Raw genomic sequence first — 19,792 nt, 5'->3', positions numbered from 1 at the left:
CTGAGTCAGGGATATAGGTGGTCCCTGAGCCCCCTCCTTACCTCTCAGCCATGCACCACCACCAAGACCTGAGATATGCGGCCCAAGGTCCCAGTGCATGTTGTAATTACCGCCGTGCACATTTATTAAAGAACAAGTCAGGAGTGGTTTGCTGCCTTCCCACCCTCACGCTTAAGGATGGGAAAAGTATATTAGAATTTCAGTTGGGGGCCAGGCACGGTGGCTCATGCCTGTAATCCCAGCAATTTGGGAGGCTGAAGCAAGAGGATCACTTGAGCCACGGAGTTCGAGACCAGCCTGGGCAACACAGCAAGGCCCCGTCTCTAATTTTTTAAAAATAAAAAATTAGCCAGGCATGGTGGTATACACCTATGGTCCCAACTACTTGGGAGGCTGAGGTGGGAGGATCACTTGAGCCTGGGAAGCTGAGGCTGCAGTGAGCAGTGATTGCACCATATCACTCCAGCCTGGGCAACAGAGCAAGACCGTGTCTCAAAAAAAAAAAAAAAAAAAAAAAAAAACCTCAGTTGGAGGGAAAACAGCAAACCACCCGCTTGCCTCCAAGGGTGGACATGGAAGGTTTGTCAGGTGAAGAAATCCCAGCAGGCTCTTCCCTGTGGATTTTGAAAGTCAGAGGCCGTGCTGCTGTGTCATGGCAAGACCAGGGGGTGCTTTCCCCCTCAGCAGGCAGGGGCGTCCGCACCTTCACAGGTGACTCCATCCACATCGCTGAGCTGGTAGCCTCGCCGGCAGTAACACTGGTAGGAGCCGTAGACGTTGGCACACTCCTGGCTACAGGGGCTGCTGCTGCACTCATTGATGTCTGAAATACAAAACGAGGGTCACCGCTCAGAGCATCATACGTCCCTGCCTCCACAGTAGCCCTCAGGGTCAGTGAACAGAAAATCTCCTCTCCACCTCCCTCAGGTTAACACACTCGGAGAGACAGAGGTCCCGGGGGGTGTGGCCGAGGGAGAGGCGTCATCGCTGGTGGCTCCGGACCCTCCATCCCTGCTCCTGCCTGCTTCGACCACAACTTCTCCTGCCAGGATGGCAGCGATCGCCTCCAGCCTTGGCCCCTGGAAGTCTGCCCCGACCTGGCTGCCAGAGTCCATTCTAGTTCTCAAATGGAAATCTGATCCTGTGCTCTCCACTTCACCTCCAAGATGGCATCCTAAACAGATGACGGCACACAAGGAAGTCCTCGGCCACCCAGCCCATACGCCAGTACTCCTCATACTCCAATGCACAGAACTCACTGGGCCACTCAGCAACTCTGAACTACTGCTCAACTGTCCCCTTTACCTAAAGCAGAGGTCAGCAAATCATAGTCTATGGGCCAAATTTGTCCCAACACTTGTTTTTATAAATAAAGTTTTATTAGAACACAGCCCGGCAAGGCATGGTGGCTCATGCCTGTAATTCCAGCACTTCGGGAGGCCGAGGTGGGCGGATCACGAGGTCAGGGGTTCGAGACCAGCCTGGCCAGCATGATGAAACCCATCTCTACTAAAAATACAAGAATTAGCCAGGCATGGTGGCACGCACCTGTAGTCACAACTTCTCGGGAGGCTGAAGCAGGAGAATTGCTTGAACAAGGAGGCAGAGGTTGCAGTGAGCCAAGATCACACCACTGCACTCCAGCCTGGGCGACAGAGCGAGACTCCGTCTCAAAATAATAATAACAATAAAATAAAGAATACAGCCACATTCACTCTTTTTTTTTTTGAGACAAAGTCTTTGTCTGTCGCCCAGGCTGGAGTACAAGTAGCTCAATCTCAGCTCACTGCAATCTCCACCTCCGGGAGGCTATTGTCCACTAAATGTGGACATGAATTCAAGCAGTTCTCCTGCCTCAGCCTCCTGAGTAGCTGGGGGATTACAGGTGTGCACCACCATGCCCGGCTAATTTTTGTATTTTTAGTAGACACAGGGTTTCACGATGTTGGCCATACTGGTCTCGAACTCCTGACCTCAAGTAATCCACCTGCCTCAGCCTCCCAAAGTGCTGGGATTACAGGTGTGAGCCACTGTGCCCTGCCACACTCATTCTTTTACCATGGTCCTCTGGCCACTTCTCTGCTACCACAGCAGAGTTCAGCGGTTGCAACAGAGATTGTGGCTGGAAAAGCCTTAAATCTATACTATGTGGCTGTCACAGAACGTCCAATAGCCTTCCACCCCGTGTTTCATCTCTGTGGCCCCCACACACCAGGCCTGGCCTCCACCTGTCCAGTGTGGTCTCTCATCCCCCGCTAGAGACACTCCCCAGTGCAGGACCGAGTTCTTGCTACACACCCGGGGCAGGACCCTAACAAATGGTTAGTAAGGTCACATAGCAAGGTTGGCCAGGCTCTGGTTCTATATCCACAATATTGTCCACTAATGTGGATATGAATGCCGACTTTTCAGCAATTTATGAATGACTAGAGGAAGCACAAGCCAGGAATCCCACTACTTCTACTAAATAATAATAAAGCCAGCAGCCTCCACACCGCCAGCTCTTCATCCTGTGCTTGGCCCTGTGATAAGCTCTTCACATGCTTAATCTCGTTTCATCCTCACAACCCCCTATGGGGTTGGTCCTACTATGCCCGTTTTACAGATGAGGACACCATGGCCCAGGAAAGACTGAGTTACTTCTTCAAGGCCATGGAAATGGCAGAAGTCAGGTTTGAACACAAGCCTGAGAGACTCAACTCGTGAATCTTGTTCCTTGTCCATACACGTTCTTGTGAACTAAGCCCAGGACCCCTCACACCGTCCGTCCTCCGATTTGAGAATCATGCACACCACAGCTCACTGTGGCATATCCAACCCCTGCGACCATCTCATCAGGAAGGAAAATTCTCATGGCAAAATGTTAGGACCTGCCATGTTTGAGTCAGGCTGCAGAAGCCGTCCTGTGAGCCAGTGCACGGCACCAAACAGGGTGTCATCGGCAATGTGGACGATTGTGGAGGGCCATCCAAAGCTCTCAGTGTCTGCTCAGCTCAGAACCTAATCCGTATACAAGACACGACATCTGCCAAGCACCTAGTATGTGCCAGGCCCTGGGCTGACATGCAGTTCATGTGACCTTCCCATCAGCCCAGGAGGTTGGTGTTATCTGAGAACCACAAGACTGTTGGCAGGAACAACTCTGTCCAACCCCCACATACCAAGAGACCTGACCCAACTTCAGCGTGGCTGCCATTGGCCCAAGACCAGGTATCCAGGATGTAGACCCAGCCCCCTTGACATGCCTGTCTGAGAAAGATCAATGCTGCCAAAAGAATTTTCTCTTGGTTCCAGCCCAAACCTGACTACAGGCGCTGACCTCCATGTTCCTTAGAAGCATCTACTTTAGAAAAACTTGCAAATGTAAACGGTTTCTCTGTCCCTTTGAGATGTGCAACCAAGGAGTGTCTTTCTCAAGGGCTGGGGACATGCCTGGGGAATGTCGTCATCCGGAAGGCCAGGGTGCTTCTCCCTGTCTCTGCGGGTGGGGAAAGCCTAACTCCAACACGAAGTTAGAGGCAGGCCGGGCGCGGTGGCTCACGCCTGTAATGCCAGCACTTTGGGAGGCCGAGGTGGGCGGATCATCTGAGGTCAGGAGTTCAAGACCAGCCTGGCCAACATGGGGAAACCCTGTCTCTACTAAAAATACAAAAATTAGCTGGGCATGGTGGTGTGCACCTGTAATCCCAGCTATTCGGGAGGCTGAGGCAGGGGAATCGCTTGAACCCGGGAGGCGGAGGTTGCAGTGAGCCGAGATCGTAGCATTGCACTCCAGCCTGGGTGACAGAGCGAGACTCCGTCTCAAAAAAAAAAAAAGAAGTTAGAGGCAGGTGCACAGTGACCCACGCCCTAAAGGCCTCAGTACTTCCTCTCACAGCTCGTCATTTACAAAGCCTCCCTCCTTTTGTTTGGGTGACTTGAGATCAATGGACACAGAGGCCTGTCTCCCCTAGGCAGCATCTGATTAAAACCCACACACTGTCTTTGTGCAAAACAAGTGTCCAGTTTTCGCTGCTGTTTCACACATCAACCCCTCTCCCCGGGGAGGACACGGAGGCAGGGAGAGGTCGGGCATAACCAAGGCCCTGTGACTCGTGGGTGTCATGCTCCAAGCCCCATAATCCTAGCCACATCCCGCATGGCCTCTGCCGCAGCCTATGAACCCCGACACGGCCTCGGAGGGTGGATGTCATCAGGAGAAATCGGGTGGGCAGGCGGGCAGTCCTCTCTGATGAACAATATTTTACAGGCACTTCCCCTGCTAACATGTCATTTAACAGGGAAACCATCGCGGATCTGCTGCAAACCGGTCTGCAGAAGGGTGGCTTCCCCAGGAGGAAGGTGACCTGGGGGAGGTGAGTGGACGGGGCCCCAGCCTCACCTTCACATGACCTGCCATCCACAGAGAGCCGGAAGCCCACGGAACAGCTGCAGAGGTAGGAGCCCAGCGTGTTCTCGCACTTGTGGCCACACAGGCGCCCGGGGTAGCGCTGGCACTCGTTGACATCTGAAAGTGAGGGGTGGGCTGACTCAGGGCAATGTCCAACACAGTGGCACCACACTCCACCCTCCTAGTAAGGCCAGCTCATGTCCTTTGTCCTCCACCTCCTCCAGCCTCATTTCTTTTTTTTCCTTCATCTTTGAGATGGAGTCTCGCTCTGTCTCCTAGGCTGGATTGCAGTGGCATGATCTCAGCTCACTGCAACCTCCGCCTCCCAGTTCAAGTGATTCTCCTGCCTCAGCCTCCCAAGTAACAGGGATTACAGGCATGTGCCACCACGCCCGGCTAATTTTTGTATTTTTTGTAGAGATGAGGTTTCGTCATGTTGGCCAGGCTGGTCTCAAACTCCTGACCTCAAGTGATTCACCTGCCTTAGCCTCCCAAAGTGCTGGGATTACAGGCATGAGCCATCGCGCCTGGCCTCCAGCCTCATTTCTCAGACAAGGAATGCAAAGTGACTTGTCCCGAGCATGCGGGAAGTCAGTGGGAGAGCCGGGACTGCCGCGCTGTGCCTGCCTGGTGGGCGAGCCTCGTGCTCCTTCTGCGGCAGCACATCTGAACTTGTGCCCTCCTGCCAGTCCTCCTCCCCAGGACCCACAAGGAGGGTCTGCCAGGATCTAGCAAAGTGCCCACTTTGGGGGAGTGGTTGGCAGCTGCCAGGCTTCCCTGAGCACCTAGGTTTGGTGACAGCAGGCACTGGCTGGACAAGACCTGACCCCACTCCTGGTCAACTTTTCCCCTCGCTGCCCTGGGCTAAAGGCACACATCTCTAGCTCCTGGGGATCTACAGCTCAGCGGTGAATCTCCAGGAAATCGCTGATGCTGCCCACATGTGTAGACCTGGCTCATCAGCACTTGGAGGTCCTGGGTCAAGCAGAACCCCTTTCCACAGATGGGGAGCAGGCTCACACACAGGGGGGTGGTGCCAGTGGCCGCCTGGCTGGGCAGTAGCAGAGCTGGGGCTAGAATGGGGTCTCCTGACTCAGGATCTTCTCTCAGGGTCTGCCTGCACTTGGGATTATCTGAGATGAGGATCAGACCACATCACTCGAGGTGCCACAGAAATGTGTCCCTGGTGCCACGTGGCTGGGTTCCCCCGAGGCCTGCGGGGCCCCCCACGCACCGACACACATCCTGCTGATGCCGTCAAAATAGTAACCCGTCTTGCATTCGCAGCGGAAACTGCCGGGAGAGTTCACGCAGCGATGTCCCTTCCCACAGGGCTCAGCAGGTGGCGCGCACTCGTCCACATCTTGCAAAGGAGAAAGAAAGCCATGATGAAAACCTTTAGTTTGGGTTTTTTCCCCCCAAGATGATCAGAAAGGAAAGCAAGAAAGGAACACATGGACATGGAAACAGGCATTCCATTTCAACACGACTTCACAGAGCACCTACTGAGTGCCGGGCCCTGGACTGGGAAGATAGCTGACCCAGAGGCAGCCCTACCTGGCTGGCAGGCCAGCAATGACTCTCATTAAGGTAGGAAGTGCCCAGGAACCCAGGGAGACACTGAAGAAGTGTCCTGGGGGTTATGCGAGGAAGGCTCCTTCCCTGGCGGGATCTAGGCAGGCTGGGTGCCCTGGATCCAAAGGAACGTAGGAGCAGGTGGGCAGAGGGAATGACGTGAGAGCAAACACCCACACAGAGAGGAAAGGACAGTGCTTGTGTGGGGAGTGGCAGACCCACATTGCCTGAATTACAAGGTTTGTGGAGTTGGGCCAGCTCTGGGGGACTGGACTGTAAGCAGAGGCATCCATCCTTTGTCACCAACGGGGAGCTGATGGAACTGTAAACAGGGTGGGGTGCGAGAGCTTTGGGCTCAGGACAAGCCAGACAAGGCTGAGGCAGTAGACGGGCTGGTGCACCAGTCCAGGCAAGACAATGAAGCCCCATGCTTGGGAACTGACAGTGGGATGGATGGGCTGATAGAAATGGCTTTGCTTTGGGGATCAACTTTCTGCTTCCAGAGAAGGCAGGGTGCATGCTGGAAGCAGACAGGAAAGTGGATTTCAGATTTGTTTTCTTAATACCAACCAACACAGCGCGTTCCCTCCTCGTTGAGATGGTAGCCACGGCCACAGTTGGGCACGTTCTTCTGGCACGTGTAGGAGCCCTCTGTGTTGATGCATGTATGCCCGATAGGGCACGGGGCACTGATACTCAAACACTCATTGATATCTACAGCGGGAAAAGACAGAGACCATGTGGTTAAACCTGGAGGGTGTCCCAGAACCCAAAAACTGGATCTCCAAAGAAACTCCCCTTCCCACCTCTTTGCAAAACCACAAATGGAGGGGCTCAACCCCCTCACTCTGGACCACACAGCCGCCTCCCAGCTGGCTCCCAAATTTTATCACTGCATACCGCCTCAAACACCACCTCTCTGGCCCTTCTTCCTGTCCCTAAATCTCCAGCACCTCCATCGTTCGCTGCGCCAAATCGGGACCTGCCTGCCTGGCTTCTCCTGCATTCATCTACTCCACACACTGGGCACGGTATTAAGGAGACAGGTGACTGTCCACGTGGTGCCAGCAACTCTGACTCCCAGCAAGGCTCTAGGCCCCTCCGATGACTGGGCTTCACAGGGCCTATGCTGAGCCAGGCCCACCCGGGAGGTGCCATGGCTCCCTGAGCTCACTGCACGGCAGTCTCCTTCCTTGAGTGGACACATCTCTGACATGGGGACCGTGGGGCATTTACCTTTGATGACATACAATGAGCAAGTGTGAACCCATGAATGGTCCAGGAGGGCCATGCTACACAGGGATACCCTCCTTCTGCTCAAATTCGGAGGAAGAATACACAGATTGCACTTCCTGATAGAGGGAGTGGAAAAGGACCTAAGCATCTAAACATCACCTTGGAGAACCTTGCTCAGACACTTACAAAGCATCTGGTATGGGGGAACAAAGAGAGGGAGTGATGGTGGAAGACCCCTGAGCGTAAGTCAGAAAGGAGGACAGCTGTACCCCTCTCCCTGCCAGCCAAGTCCACCCTCCTCAGTCAAATGAGTCAGCCCTTCGCGCTGACCGTGCAGCAATTTACAGTTTACAAAAGCTTTTACATCCATGACCGCTCTCGAGCACCACAGCCAGCCTGCAAGTGAGGTGAGGCCGGTATCACTATCATTACTGCCTGCACTTTATAAACAGGAAACCAAGGTCCGGAGACTGAATGACTCTGGGCTCATGGCTGAAGTCAGGGGCCAACCAGGGCCTAGGTCTAGAATCAGGGTCTCCTGCTTTCCAGCTCCCTTAAATCAGTGGCCAGCAAATGATGGCCCTTGGTTCAAACCCGGCTTACACCTGCTTTTGTAAATAAAGTTTTATTAGCGTGCAACCAGGCCCACTCTGTTATGCATTGCTCAGGGGTGCTTTTACACTGCAAAAGGCAGAGTTGAGTGGTTGCCACAGAGACTGAAGTTGTTAGTTACCATCTAGCCCTTTAGAGAAACAGCTGGGTGGCCCCTGCCCTGTAACACGAATAAATGCAGCGTTTAGCAGAGCGGTGGCTGCCTTCCCACTGGCGCTGCAGGTTCCTCACTCAGACTAGATTCCCCAAACTCTGTTCCACAGAACAACAGTGTCCCTCAGAACATCGTGCACTCCACAGGGGTAAGACCTGGCTATCAATGAATGAATGAATGGGAATGAATAAACAGACAGCAAATCAATGTAAAGCATAGGGTGAGTTTGGGAACAGGGCACCCGATCTCTCCCTCTCAGGGATTCACATGGGAAAAGCCCAAGCTACCAAGGTCCCCGTTCACTTGGCTTCACCCAGTGCTTCCTAGATTCAGTGGAACCCCTTCCTGCCCCAGGACCTGCCGACATCCCCAGGCAAGGTCAGCCAGGGCACGTGGGAAGCCCTGGCCCATTCCTTCCTCCCCACTCAAGAAGAAAGGCAGAGGCTGGGCGTGGTGGCTCACGCCTGCAATCCCAGCACTTTGGGAAGCCGAGGGGTGGATCACCTGAGGTCAAGAGCTCGAGACCAACCTGGCCAACACGGCAAAACCCCATCTCTACTGAAAATACAAAAATTAGCCAGGCATGGTTGTGGGCACCTGTAATCCCAGCTACTTGGGAGGCTGAGACAGGAGAACTGCTTGAACCCAGCAGGGTGGAGGTTGCAGTGAGCCAAGATTGCACCACTGCACTCCAGCCTGGGTGACAGTGAGACTGTCTCAAAAAAAAAAAAAAAAGAAGAAAAGAAGGAGGGAAAGGGGGAGGCGGGGAGGGAGAGAAGGGGAAGGGAAGGAGGGGGAGGAGGGAAGTGGGAGGGGAGGGGGAGGGGAAGAGGAGAAGGGAGGGGGAGGATGGGAGGGGGAAGAGGAGGAGGAGAAGGAGAAAGGAATACAGCAGCAGGAGGAGGGAATTTGAAGAAAAGAGCAAAGAAAACCCGACAAAGCCATGCTGGTCTCAAAGCCCTCGGTGACCCAACCTTAAGGTTCTAGAAAATTCTCCATGCATGATAGGGGCAGAGACCTCCACTTTCTGGGACCCTGACCCATCCCTTGTACTAGCTCTGCAGGAAGAGCTCTTCTGCTACAGGCAGGAGGCTCGGATGGGCTCTTGGGGCCCCAGGATGGTTCTAGGAGCTCCAGGAAGATGGATTCTGGCTACACAAGGAAATCAACGCTTCCCACCACGGACCATGCTGTTCCTGGGTGAGGGAGCGGGTACCATGGGCAGAGGTGTGGGAGCAGAGGACCCAGGGTGCGTGCTGGGGGACCAGGACCTGACATAGAACCTTTTCAGCCCTCTCCCAGACGGCCTGAAACTACCTTCTATCTTGATGTATTTTCTCCTTAGAAAGACGTATTTCTGCTGATGCAGTCATTTTTAAAAAGATAACATAAAGGTGCTGACATGAAATGATTTCTAAATACCCTGTCAAGTGGGGGGGAAAAGCAAGTGGCAGAACAGTCTGATCCCATTTTCATAAAAAAACAAAAAGTCTCAAGGGAGCAGAGCCCAGAAGGGCTCATGGACCCTGCCAAGAGGCGGGCAGGATTGGCCAGGGGAGGAGCGTTTACTTCCTACACTTAGGTTTTGTTTGCTGATTTATAAGTCAAGACATACATAATTTTTGAAATAAATAGAGATCTTTTAAAACAATGATTCCTGAGCTTGATTGCAAGGATTGAGAGCACATGAAAAGGGGAACCCCATCCTCATCCCAGCATCCCAAGCTAAGGGGACCCTGAGGGAGCTGAACATTTGGCTTTCGATGCTGTCACTGAGGACCCAGGGAGATGGCACGGAACAGCTCAGTGCCGCCAGGCTGGCCTTCAGCCCACAGCCTGCTTGCCAGTCCTGGAAGGACAGTAAGGGGACGGCTCCCGAGCCTCAGCCCATACACAGTGCTGCACCCTGTAGAGAGGAAAGTCAGGGCTAGGTTGAGACTTGCAAACATTGCCTCTTTGTGGAAATCGGGGCTGATTTTGCCATGAGTCAGGGTTTCCATCCTCAGTCGACGCCAGCCTCCTCCGGACCCCCCTTTGAGCAGGCTGCAAGTCTGAGCAGGACTATCCTCCCCGCTGGTCCCGGAGAGCCCATGGCTTCCCTGCTCACCACCCCCTGCGCTGAGCGAAAACCACCCCTCCCTGCTGGCAAGGGACTGGCGAGGGGCCAACTGGCAGCTGAGCCACAGCGCCCCAGCTCAGAAGTCTCCCCCAGGGGATGACAGGGAAGCTGTAACAGAGGAAGGCTGGGGCGGGTTTCAGACGAGGCCCCTGTCCTAAGGGCTCACTGTTCCACTTGTCTTTTTATCTTTTTTTTTTTTTTTGACACAGAGTCTTGCTCTGTTGTCCAGGCTGGAGTGCAGTGGCACGATCTTGGCTCACTACAACCTCCACCTCCTGGGTTCAAGCGATTCTCCTGCCTCAGCATCTTGAGTAGCTGGGATTACAAGGTGCCCACCACCACACCCGGCTAATTTTTGTATTTTTAGTAGAGACGGGGTTTCACCATATTGGTCAGGCTGGTCTCGAACTCCTGACCTCAAGTGATCCACCCGCCTTGGCCTCCCAAAGTACCAGAATTACAGGCGTGAGTCACTGTGCCCGGCCACATCCACTTATCTTTAAATATCTCAGTGGTTAAAAATAATGCAGTGGGGGAAGAGCTCTCTCTCCAAACCACTATTTCAAATAAATGATCAATACAGATTTCGCTAAGGAAAAGTTGAAATCGAAGCAAGATGGAAATGTATACCCCCTTGCTCATGGCAGGGGAGAGGTGATGGGGCCACCCCAGGTGGGGAGGTTCTGACTAGTGTGATCTGTAGCTCGGATTCCTCACCTCTTCTCCTAAAAAGTCTCTCTGACCTCAAAGGCAGGACCCAGGGGCGTCTGCCAAGCAGAGGCCGAGGGAGAGCCGGTGGATCAGGACTTAAGCGCTGACTGCAGCGGCCTAGCCAGGCAGTTAACCTGACAACGGCTGGGGAAAGCAGGACTCACCTCCTGTCTTTCCAGAACCAGTAACCCAGGCCGGCCAGCTCCCCGGCCGCACCCCACACAGCTCCTCTAGCGTGAGCGGTCTTGCCCAGGCCTCCTAAATTCATACTAAGTTCACATGGGATTCTCTCTTTTCATATTAGTATTTCTCTGATATCAGCAATTTCTTTTTTTTTTTCTTTTTTGAGATGGAGTCTCACTCTGTCACCCAGGCTGGAGTACAGTGGCGTGATCTCAGCTCACTGCAACCTCTGCCTCCCAGGCTCAAGCGATTCTGCTGCCTCAGCCTCCTAAGCAGCTGGGATTACAGGCGCCCATCACTACGCCCAGCTAATTTTTGTATTTTTAGTAGAGATGGGGTTTCACTATATTGGTCAGGCTGGTCTCAAACTCCTGACCTCAGGTGATCCACCCTCCTCGGCCTCCCAAAGTGCTGGGATTACAAGTGTGAGCCACCGTGCCTGGCCAGAGTTTCTTTTCTCATTGTGGTGAACTACATGTGAACTACAAATTTTATGTAACACAAAATCTGCCATCGTAACCATTTTAAGTAGACGGTTCAGGGGCATTACTGCATTCACACTGTCGTGCCACCATCACCCCCATCCATCTCCAGAACTTTTTCATCTTCTCAAACTGAAACTCTGCGCCCAGGAAACACTCACTCCCCATCCCCCACCCTGCCCAGCCCCGGCACCTTCCATTCTACTTTCTGTCTCTATGAATTCAAATACTAACACAGACTGTTTTTTATTTTTATATTTTATTTTATTTTTGAGACAGGGTCTTGCTCTGTTGCCCAGACTGGAGTGCAGTAGCACGATCACAGCTCACTGCAGCCTCGACCTCCCTGCTCAAGGGATCCTCCCACCTCAGCCTCCCAAGTAGCTGGGACTGTAGGCATGCGCCACTACACCCAGCTAATTTTTTGTAGTGATGGGGTCTCGCTATATTGCCCAGGCTGGCCTCAAAAACCTGGGCTCAAGCAATCCTCCTGCCTTGGCCTCCCAAAGTGCTAGGATTACAGGCGTGACCCACTGTGCCCAGCCAAGTATTTTTTAAAATAATTTTTTAATAGGCTAAATGCCTGTGGCAGGGAATCACCACTCACCGAGTGCTTCCTGTGTACCAGTACTTCGCAAGTACTCGCCTAATCCTGGCCTCAAGTCTCTAAGCCAGGTATTATGATTACTCCCATTTTATAGAGGAAAAAATTAAAGCTCAGAAGTAATTTTCTTGGGTCACTCTAACTCCAAAACCCAAGCTCTTTAATCTAAACCCAGATCAGCAAACTGTGGTCCTTGGGCCAAATCCAGCCTACTGCCTATTTTTGTAAATAAAGTTTTATTGGAACACAGCCACACCCATTTGTTTACAGATGGCCCTTGGCCGCTTTAGACTATAACAGCAGAGTTGACTATTATGACAGAGACCATATGGCCCACAACGGCTAAAGTATTTGCTCTATTTGCTGTCCAGCCCTTTACACAAAAAGTTTGCCAACCCCTGTTCTGTATACCATGCGGCCCCGCAGATTCTAGAGGCCTGCCCCAAGGCTAGGTCGCTGGCCCCTCCTGGAATAACCCGCTAATCCTGGCGGCACACCTCTTACCAATACAGTTGCCTAGAGCATCTTGTATAAAGCCACTCTTGCACTGTAGCTTGGGTCGGCAGCGGAAGGATCCCAGAGTATTCTGACAGATAAAATCGGGGAGGCAGTTATGAATACCACTCTCACACTCGTCAATATCTGGTACATCATAAAAAAAGGAAATTGTTAGCAAGAGTCCTGCCAGAAGCATCTTACAACACTTTAAAATCACAAGAAAGCTTTTTTCTAATGCGCATTACTCAGACTATAACCCAAAACATTCTAATAGAGAAATCATACACAAAAAAGACTTCACTGAGCCAAATCGTGCTCCAGTTGCTAAAGACTTAAAAAGCTGACTTTTTTTCCCAAGGCTCTTATGAGGCAAACTGTCTGTTATAATAAATCACCCTGGCATTTTCCTGGCAGGTATATATATATTAGTATTCATTCAGGCTAAGTGTATGTTTAGTTTAGATCATAAAGCAATTATCTTAGTGGCAACAAACACAGTCTCTATAAACATATCCATTCTGAAGTCTTCACAATAATCCAGATATTAACAAGGGTTACAGTCATGATGGGATGTGATGGGCTGCCCTTCCCTTGAAGTTCATGGCTGTCAAATGGTCAAATGTGTATACTCAGCTGGCTTGGCCACTGGGCTCTAGGGGTCCAAACCACCCAGCTGGTGTGTGGGGGTGGGGAGGACAGAATTTGCTCTGTGGCCCTCAGATGTCAGAAGGGGTGTGCCATGCTTTGAAGTCACTCTCATGATACAGTGAGTGACATTTTTACACAAGTGGATTTGTCCTTCTGAAAGGCTTGAAACCCTCTGCAAAACTGTGTTCTAAACGATCCTCATCAGAGCCTCCCCATCTGCCAAATAACACCTAAGGCTTGGCGGGGAAAGGCTGGCAGCCAGAAATGCCATGTGTTTATGCAGTGGAAGGGGATATGCTTTGAACTTCAAGGAAGCCTGGATTTGGATGGAAGGCAGCTGTTGTGCAAAAACAGTTGTGGGATTTTTGTTTTTGCTTTTTTTTTTTTTTTTTTTTTTTTTTTTGTAGAAAGTACATGTGAGAACCTGAAATTCATCCCTGGTCTTGATTTTAAATAGTCATGCACTGAGCCTTTTTAGAAACCCAAATCTGCCATCGTTTACTCTGCACCATAAGAACGTAAATCTTTCCTAACAGCTGAACTAGCTGGCACCGGTGCACTACTGTCAACTTTTTCAATGTTCTGAACATTATTGGCAAGCACTTTCACCTTCCATCCCACCTGTCCAGACACCCTGGTGGGTATAACCACCTCCCTCCTGCAGATGAGCAGGCAGTCGCCCAGGCAGCCACAGAGGGCGCAGGACTGCGGGAGCCCAGACCCCAGAGCTGCCCTTCCCACCGCGCCGTATCTACGCCTGGAAGACCAGGTTTGCAGACTCGGAGCGCATGCTGTACCTTTGCAGCTATTGTCCTCTGTGAGCTCATAGCCAGTCCCGCAGCTGCTGTCCCGCTGGCAGCGGAAAGAGCCCACTGTGTTGATGCAGGATTCTCCAAGCCGGCAGCTGTGGCTGCCCGTGATGCATTCATTGACATCTAGGAGAGACCGAGGCAGTGCGGGGGTGACCAGCAAGAACGACCCATCCTAATACATCCTAGAAAGGAATGTGCCAAAGCCACGGTGGAAGTGCTTCCCTGCACCCTCGCAAACTGAGCTCAGGTCCACCATGTGCACATCCGGGCTGTGGACTGCACGGAGTCGAAAGCAGTGATTTCTCTCCCCTGCTAACGTTCATATCTACTGCTTTTTCTGAGACTGTAGTTATGTGGTCCTCAAGAACCCCACGGAGGGGCAGCATCTTCTCCATCTCCCCCATCTCACAGACGCGGGGGCCAGGAGAGGCTGAAGGATGTGCCCAAGGCCACTCAGCAGATCCTGGATCCGGAACCTGGTTAGACCCCAACTCCATCCTCTTTCCCAACCCCAGTGCTTATATTGTCTTGGAGGGAAGTCTCGGCAGGGGCCTCTGCGCTGCAAACTCCAGCGAACACGAGAAAGCGCGTCCTGGGCTGCTCTCCACCCCTGAATGGGGTCTGGGTTGTAGAAGGCAGGCCCTGGTCAGTCCTCCAGCACAGAGCTCCCAAGCACAGTGACCGGCCAGTCCTGCTGGCACCTGGGATAGGGACATTACCTTCACAGGAGACACCATCAGACAGCAGCTGGTAGCCCACGAAGCAGGAGCAGACCACCTCGTCACCCGTGTCTCGGCACTGCTGCTTGCAGGGCCCGCCTCCTGGAAGCACAGCGTGCATGAGCCAGGGATGGACGCACCCAGGCACCGCCTGGTTTCTAGCTCCGTTCAGGCTGGGTCATAGAAAACGCCCTCTGGGCAGACGAACCCAGGAAGGCAGGCTGACCTGGCTGGAGCCCACCTGCTGCCCTACTGGGAGACCCCCAGGCTCTGGCTCTGGACACCCCCCAGGGGCTGCTGCTTCAGGTCCCAACCTCCCCGTCTGGAAAATCAGGTGGTGTGCAGGGTGCCCTTTGTAGGCTGGGGTGGACCTGGAAGGGGCGAAGCAGAGAAGAGCTCACTGCCGGTCACAGACATGGGGGTGTGGGCTCCACGTGGAAGGCCAGGCCCCAACTAGGCCTCATGTACCTGCTCCTCACTGAACTCTCGAGCTGTCCCACTGCTCCAAGCCCACTACCATGGCCTCAGTTCCTGCAGCTGCCCACCTGGCTGTGGCCACAGCCTCCTACCTGGTCTTTCTGCATAGCCCAGAAGCACCCCACAACCTGTTCTTCCTACAGGGTGGCCAGAGTGATGCTCAGAGTGCAAATCTCATCAGGATAAGCCTCAACCAGGGAAAGATTCTACGAGATACACTTCTAACTGCTGCCAGCCTGCCTGCTTCTAGGGCCCCTCTCTCTGGCCCTGTAACCCCACCTCCTTCCCCAGCCCACTGCCTCCCAGTACCCTGCTACAGTGGGTCCGTGCCCTTTACAAGGCTTCAGGTCTCCCTGAGGACCGTTTCAGGGTTATTTTCCCAGCTAATCCCACCTCCTCCTTGCAGACCAGCTCTCCCCTCCCCAGAAAGCTCCTCCCATAGCCCTGAGGCTTGCTGGGGCTCTAGGTCACTCCCTTCCTCCCTCCACCAGGCCCCTGGACAGCGCCCCTGGACCAACTGTCACTGTACACTGACTGCATCATTTAAGAATTAAACTGGCCCCTAATTAACACCCTAACCACAGGGGGAACCACTGAAAGAGCTTGTGAGGCAGATCTGCAGGTCTAGACATGCCAGAATGTTCCATGAAAGAAAAGCAGTTTTATCATATGAAAAACAAACCTGCGAGGCCCTTAGTTAAATGTGCAGACATCTCCCTGTGAGGCAAATGAATATCACCAATGGTGACAGAACCGTGGCTGGGGCTCCAGGGGCACAAAGGCAGGGAACGCTGAGCCCCCTCCTCTCCCCTGAGAGCCTGAGGGAGGCCTCTGTCACCTTCACAAGGCCTGGGGGCTCGGTAACGTGCAGGCTTTCCACACCAGCTCTGGCCCTGGGCCTGGGCCACCCTCCCCAGCAGGGCCTCACCAGGGCCCCTCCTTGGTAAGCCCACCCTTCCCCTCCCCAGCCAGCCCTAGATCTGGAAGGGGAAAGGGAAGGAGGAGCTGGGAGTCCACGACTCCTCAGGGTGGAAGTGGCTCATGGCTGGCTCCCAGCCAAAGGGTACTTTGCAGGGTAAACCAAAGCAAAACCTGGATTCCAACTTCCAGTGAGATCAGCACCGAGATTCCTTGGTTTTGCTTTTTGTTTGTTTGTTTTTTTGTTTTTGAGACGGGGTCCAGCTCTGTTGCCCAGGCTAGAGTGCAAAGGTGCAGTCATAGCTCACTGCAGCCACAACCTCCTGGGCTCAAGGAATCCTCCTGCCTTGGCTTCCCAAAGTACTAGGATTACAGGCCTGAGCCACCTTGCTGGCCCCTTGGGGTTTGTTTAAATACCAACTGATGGGAGACGCCCGAGTCTCACCTCGGCAGCGGTCATTCAGATATGGGTCCTCTTGTTCCTCCTCAACCTCAATGATCTTATCTAAGGGGGAAAAAGACCAAGTCAGACATTTATCCAAACACCCATCTTATCTTAAAAGAAACTCCCAACATTCTCTCTTCTTGTCACTATCAGGCAGTAATGCCCATTTGAACATCTTATATAAACAGCTAAGTATTAACTTTATCCTCTTTAAGCTAGAATTACACTTGAAAATGTATAATTGATATCTGATCAATTATAGGCCAGGCGTGGTGGCGGGCACCTGTAATCCCAGCACTTTGGGAGGCCGAGGCAGGCGGATCACCTGAGGTCAGGAGTTCAAGACCATCCTGGCCAACACGGTGAAATGCTGTCTCTACTAAAAATACAAAAATTAGCCAGGTGTAGCGGCATGCACCTGTAATCTCAGGTACTCAGGAAGTTGAGGCAGGATAATCGCTTGAACTCAGGAGTCGGAGGTTGCAGTGAGTCAAGATCACACCATTGCACTCCAGCCTGGGCAACAAGAGCGAGACTCCGTTTCAAAAAAAAAAGATCAGTTATAACAGAAAGACCACAGACACAAAGGCCTGTAATCATTGACTTCATGCTGGGTGATATTCCCATAGTCCAAATTACTTGACCATCTCAGCAAATGCAGTCACAGCCTTGCTAACAACCAACACACGCCCTCCAAGTCTAAAGCAATGCACGCAGTAAAAACTTGAGTCTCCTGATTGATTCTATCAAATGCTATTATGTGTTTGAAAAGGGTTATTCTCCATTTCTGTACTTATTTGTCGCAGGCCAGCACTGGTCTGGGGACCTTCTGCATGGCCCCCAGGAAACATACAGTGGGTCCATGGCACTGGTAGCAGTGGGAGGAAGGTGCGGCTGTGAAGACAGGAAGCCCTCCCAGAGGAGGGAGCATGCGAGGATAGTCTGGGGCAAGGACTGAAGCAGATAAAAGACGGAGAGATAAAACATCTAACATCTGGAGCTGCAGAAAAGCCCAGAGACTGCTCACGCTGCAGACATAAATCAGTGAAAATCCACCCCCGAGATGCAGGAGAAATCCTCCACCAGCAGGAATGGTTTGGGTTTGTTTAAAGTGAAAATGTCGTCTCTGATTTCAAAAGCCAAGGAATGAGGCAGAATGCGGCCCCAATCCCTCTTGATGACTGTAACATCTGAAATCATCTCAGTGGCATCCATGGGGCCCTGGACTTGAAAAACTAAGAACAATAAGTGAAAGATGAGTCCCGGGTGACCCGGGTCCTCTGTGACCAGGGGCCCTACAGCCTGGACTTGAAAACCTAAGAACAAGAAGTGAAAGGTTCCGTGTCACCCAGGACCCTACAGCCATTACCTTGACTTAGAGACTACAGGTCTGAGGGTTCTTCCCTTTCGCCCCTTCCGGCACCTCCCCACCTCTTTATTTATTTTATTATTTTTTTTGAGACTGAGTCTCGTTCTGTCACCCAGGCTGGAATGCAATGGCGCCATCTCGGCTCACTGCAACCTCCGCCTCCCAGGTTCAAGCGATTCTCCCTGCCTCAGCCTCCCAAGTAGCTGGGATTACAGGCGCCCGCCACCACGCCCAGCTAATTTTTGTATTTTTAGTAGAGACAGGGTTTCCCCATGTTGGCCAGGCTAGTCTCGAACTCCTGACCTCAGGTGATCCGCCTGCCTCGGCCTCCCAAAGTGCTGGGATTACAGGCGTGAGCCACCGTGCCCAGCTCACACCTCTTTTATTTTTTAAGAGAGTGGGGGCAAAGCTCAGAGAGAGGAGGGAACAGGCCGAAAACTACACAGCAAGCTTGGCCCAGGCGGAGTCCTGCCTTCTTCCAGGTTAATTCTGTTACAGCACAAGAAACCGTGGCCTAAGTGTAAGAGGCTACTGGACAGCCACAAAGTCTCCTGAACCCTGTAACTGAACCACACAGAAATGCAGGGCGAGGACACAGAACGGGGGGGCACACAGCTGAGAGCGCTCTTGAAGCTGCTCTTGGGGTCACATGCCCCTTTGCTGAGTAAGTGTCTATGATTTGACAGAGCATAGCCAGCTATTAGCCAGCGATGGCCCCCAGCTGCTCGCCCATACATCGTCAGCTCCAGATGGAGAGGGCACTGGCCAGGAGGTGGAAGGCCAGGCTCTCCCTCCTCCACGTGTCGGCTGTGCGATCTTCAGCATCAGACCCTCACCCAAGAAGTGGGAGCAAGGCCAGCCACCCATGCTGCCCCGGGCAGCTGAAGGGACAAGGGCAGATGGTGAGGGCAGACATTTATGGGGCCAGGTGCTCTACCCAACCCTTGACACCCAATCTCGCACTCCATCCTCCCAGCACCTGATGAAGTAGGACTGCAACTATCCCCACTTCCCAGATGAGGGGACCAAGGTACACATTAGGACCCGGATGGGAGCACAGATTTGTCCGATCCCAGACTCCAAGCACTCAGCGTCACTCCAGGACAGCGGCTTTCAGATAAGGTCACAAACATGAATGGCTCCGACAACCGGAGTTAGTCCGTGCTGAGTTAAGGCAATGGTGACACGGATGCACGTGTTACCTGTAATGGTTCATCGTAAGTGTCAATTGGGCTGGGGTATGGTACTCAAATATTTAGTCAAACACTAGCCTGGATGTTGCTGTGAAGCTATATTTTAGAGATTAATATTGGCCAGGCACGATGGCTCACACCTGTAATCCTAGCACTTTGGGAAGCTGAGGCAGGTGGATTACCTGAGGTCAGGAGTTCCAGATCAGCCTGGCCAACATGGTGAAACCCCATCCCTACTAAAAATACAAAAATTAGCCAGGTGTGGTAGTGTACACCTGTAATCCCAGCTACTCGGGAGGCTGAGGCACAAGAATCACTTGAACCCGGGAGGCGGAGGTTGCCGTGAGCCAAGATCACACCACTGCACTGCACTCCAGCCTGGGTGACAGAGAGAGATTCTGTCTCAAAAAAAAAAAGAGATTAACATGTAAGTCTGTTGATGCTGAGAAAAGCAGATCATCTTCATACCATGGGTGGGCCTCACTCAATCAGCAGAAGGCCTTCAGAGAAAAAAGACTGGCCTCCCCGGGAAAGGCGGCGTTCTGCCAGCACACTGCCTTTGAACTCCAGCTGCAATGCCCCTCCTTCCCTGGGGCTCCAGCCTGAAGGCCTGCCCTGCAGATTTTGGACTTGCCAGCCCCACGATC

The 19,792-nt window shown here is 52.7% G+C and overlaps 1 protein-coding gene across 4 annotated transcripts in view, besides 3 other annotated features; it reads right to left on the bottom strand.

Annotated features, from left to right (window-relative positions):
• FBLN1 (fibulin 1) overlaps window positions 1–19,792 on the bottom strand; it is a 98,253-nt gene that overhangs the window by 53,228 nt on the left and 25,233 nt on the right. For all 4 annotated transcript variants that reach the window (NM_006486.3, NM_006485.4, NM_001996.4 and 1 more), the window contains exons 5-12: window positions 16,584–16,643; window positions 14,744–14,845; window positions 14,010–14,147; window positions 12,571–12,708; window positions 6,536–6,679; window positions 5,625–5,753; window positions 4,382–4,507; window positions 704–823 (exon numbers count right to left, since the gene is read on the bottom strand). In NM_006486.3, the coding sequence (NP_006477.3) occupies window positions 704–823; window positions 4,382–4,507; window positions 5,625–5,753; window positions 6,536–6,679; window positions 12,571–12,708; window positions 14,010–14,147; window positions 14,744–14,845; window positions 16,584–16,643 (957 nt within the window). The remainder of the gene's footprint in view (window positions 1–703; window positions 824–4,381; window positions 4,508–5,624; window positions 5,754–6,535; window positions 6,680–12,570; window positions 12,709–14,009; window positions 14,148–14,743; window positions 14,846–16,583; window positions 16,644–19,792) is intronic.
• Window positions 372–871: an enhancer, noted in NCBI's record as "H3K4me1 hESC enhancer chr22:45942917-45943416 (GRCh37/hg19 assembly coordinates)". NCBI's record gives its function as "activates a minimal SCP1, AML or CMV promoter by ChIP-STARR-seq in naive H9 embryonic stem cells {active_cell/tissue: H9 hESC(naive)}" and the evidence as "EXISTENCE:reporter gene assay evidence [ECO:0000049][PMID:30033119]".
• Window positions 872–1,373: an enhancer, noted in NCBI's record as "H3K4me1 hESC enhancer chr22:45942415-45942916 (GRCh37/hg19 assembly coordinates)". NCBI's record gives its function as "activates a minimal SCP1, AML or CMV promoter by ChIP-STARR-seq in naive and primed H9 embryonic stem cells {active_cell/tissue: H9 hESC(naive and primed)}" and the evidence as "EXISTENCE:reporter gene assay evidence [ECO:0000049][PMID:30033119]".
• Window positions 18,819–19,369: an enhancer, noted in NCBI's record as "H3K27ac-H3K4me1 hESC enhancer chr22:45924419-45924969 (GRCh37/hg19 assembly coordinates)". NCBI's record gives its function as "activates a minimal SCP1, AML or CMV promoter by ChIP-STARR-seq in primed H9 embryonic stem cells {active_cell/tissue: H9 hESC(primed)}" and the evidence as "EXISTENCE:reporter gene assay evidence [ECO:0000049][PMID:30033119]".

The sequence above is a fragment of the Homo sapiens genome, chromosome 22, assembly GCF_000001405.40.
Source record: "Homo sapiens chromosome 22, GRCh38.p14 Primary Assembly".
Classification (NCBI taxonomy): domain Eukaryota; kingdom Metazoa; phylum Chordata; class Mammalia; order Primates; family Hominidae; genus Homo; species Homo sapiens.
Note: the sequence above shows the minus strand (reverse complement) of the source record. Positions and strands in the feature narration are given on the sequence as shown.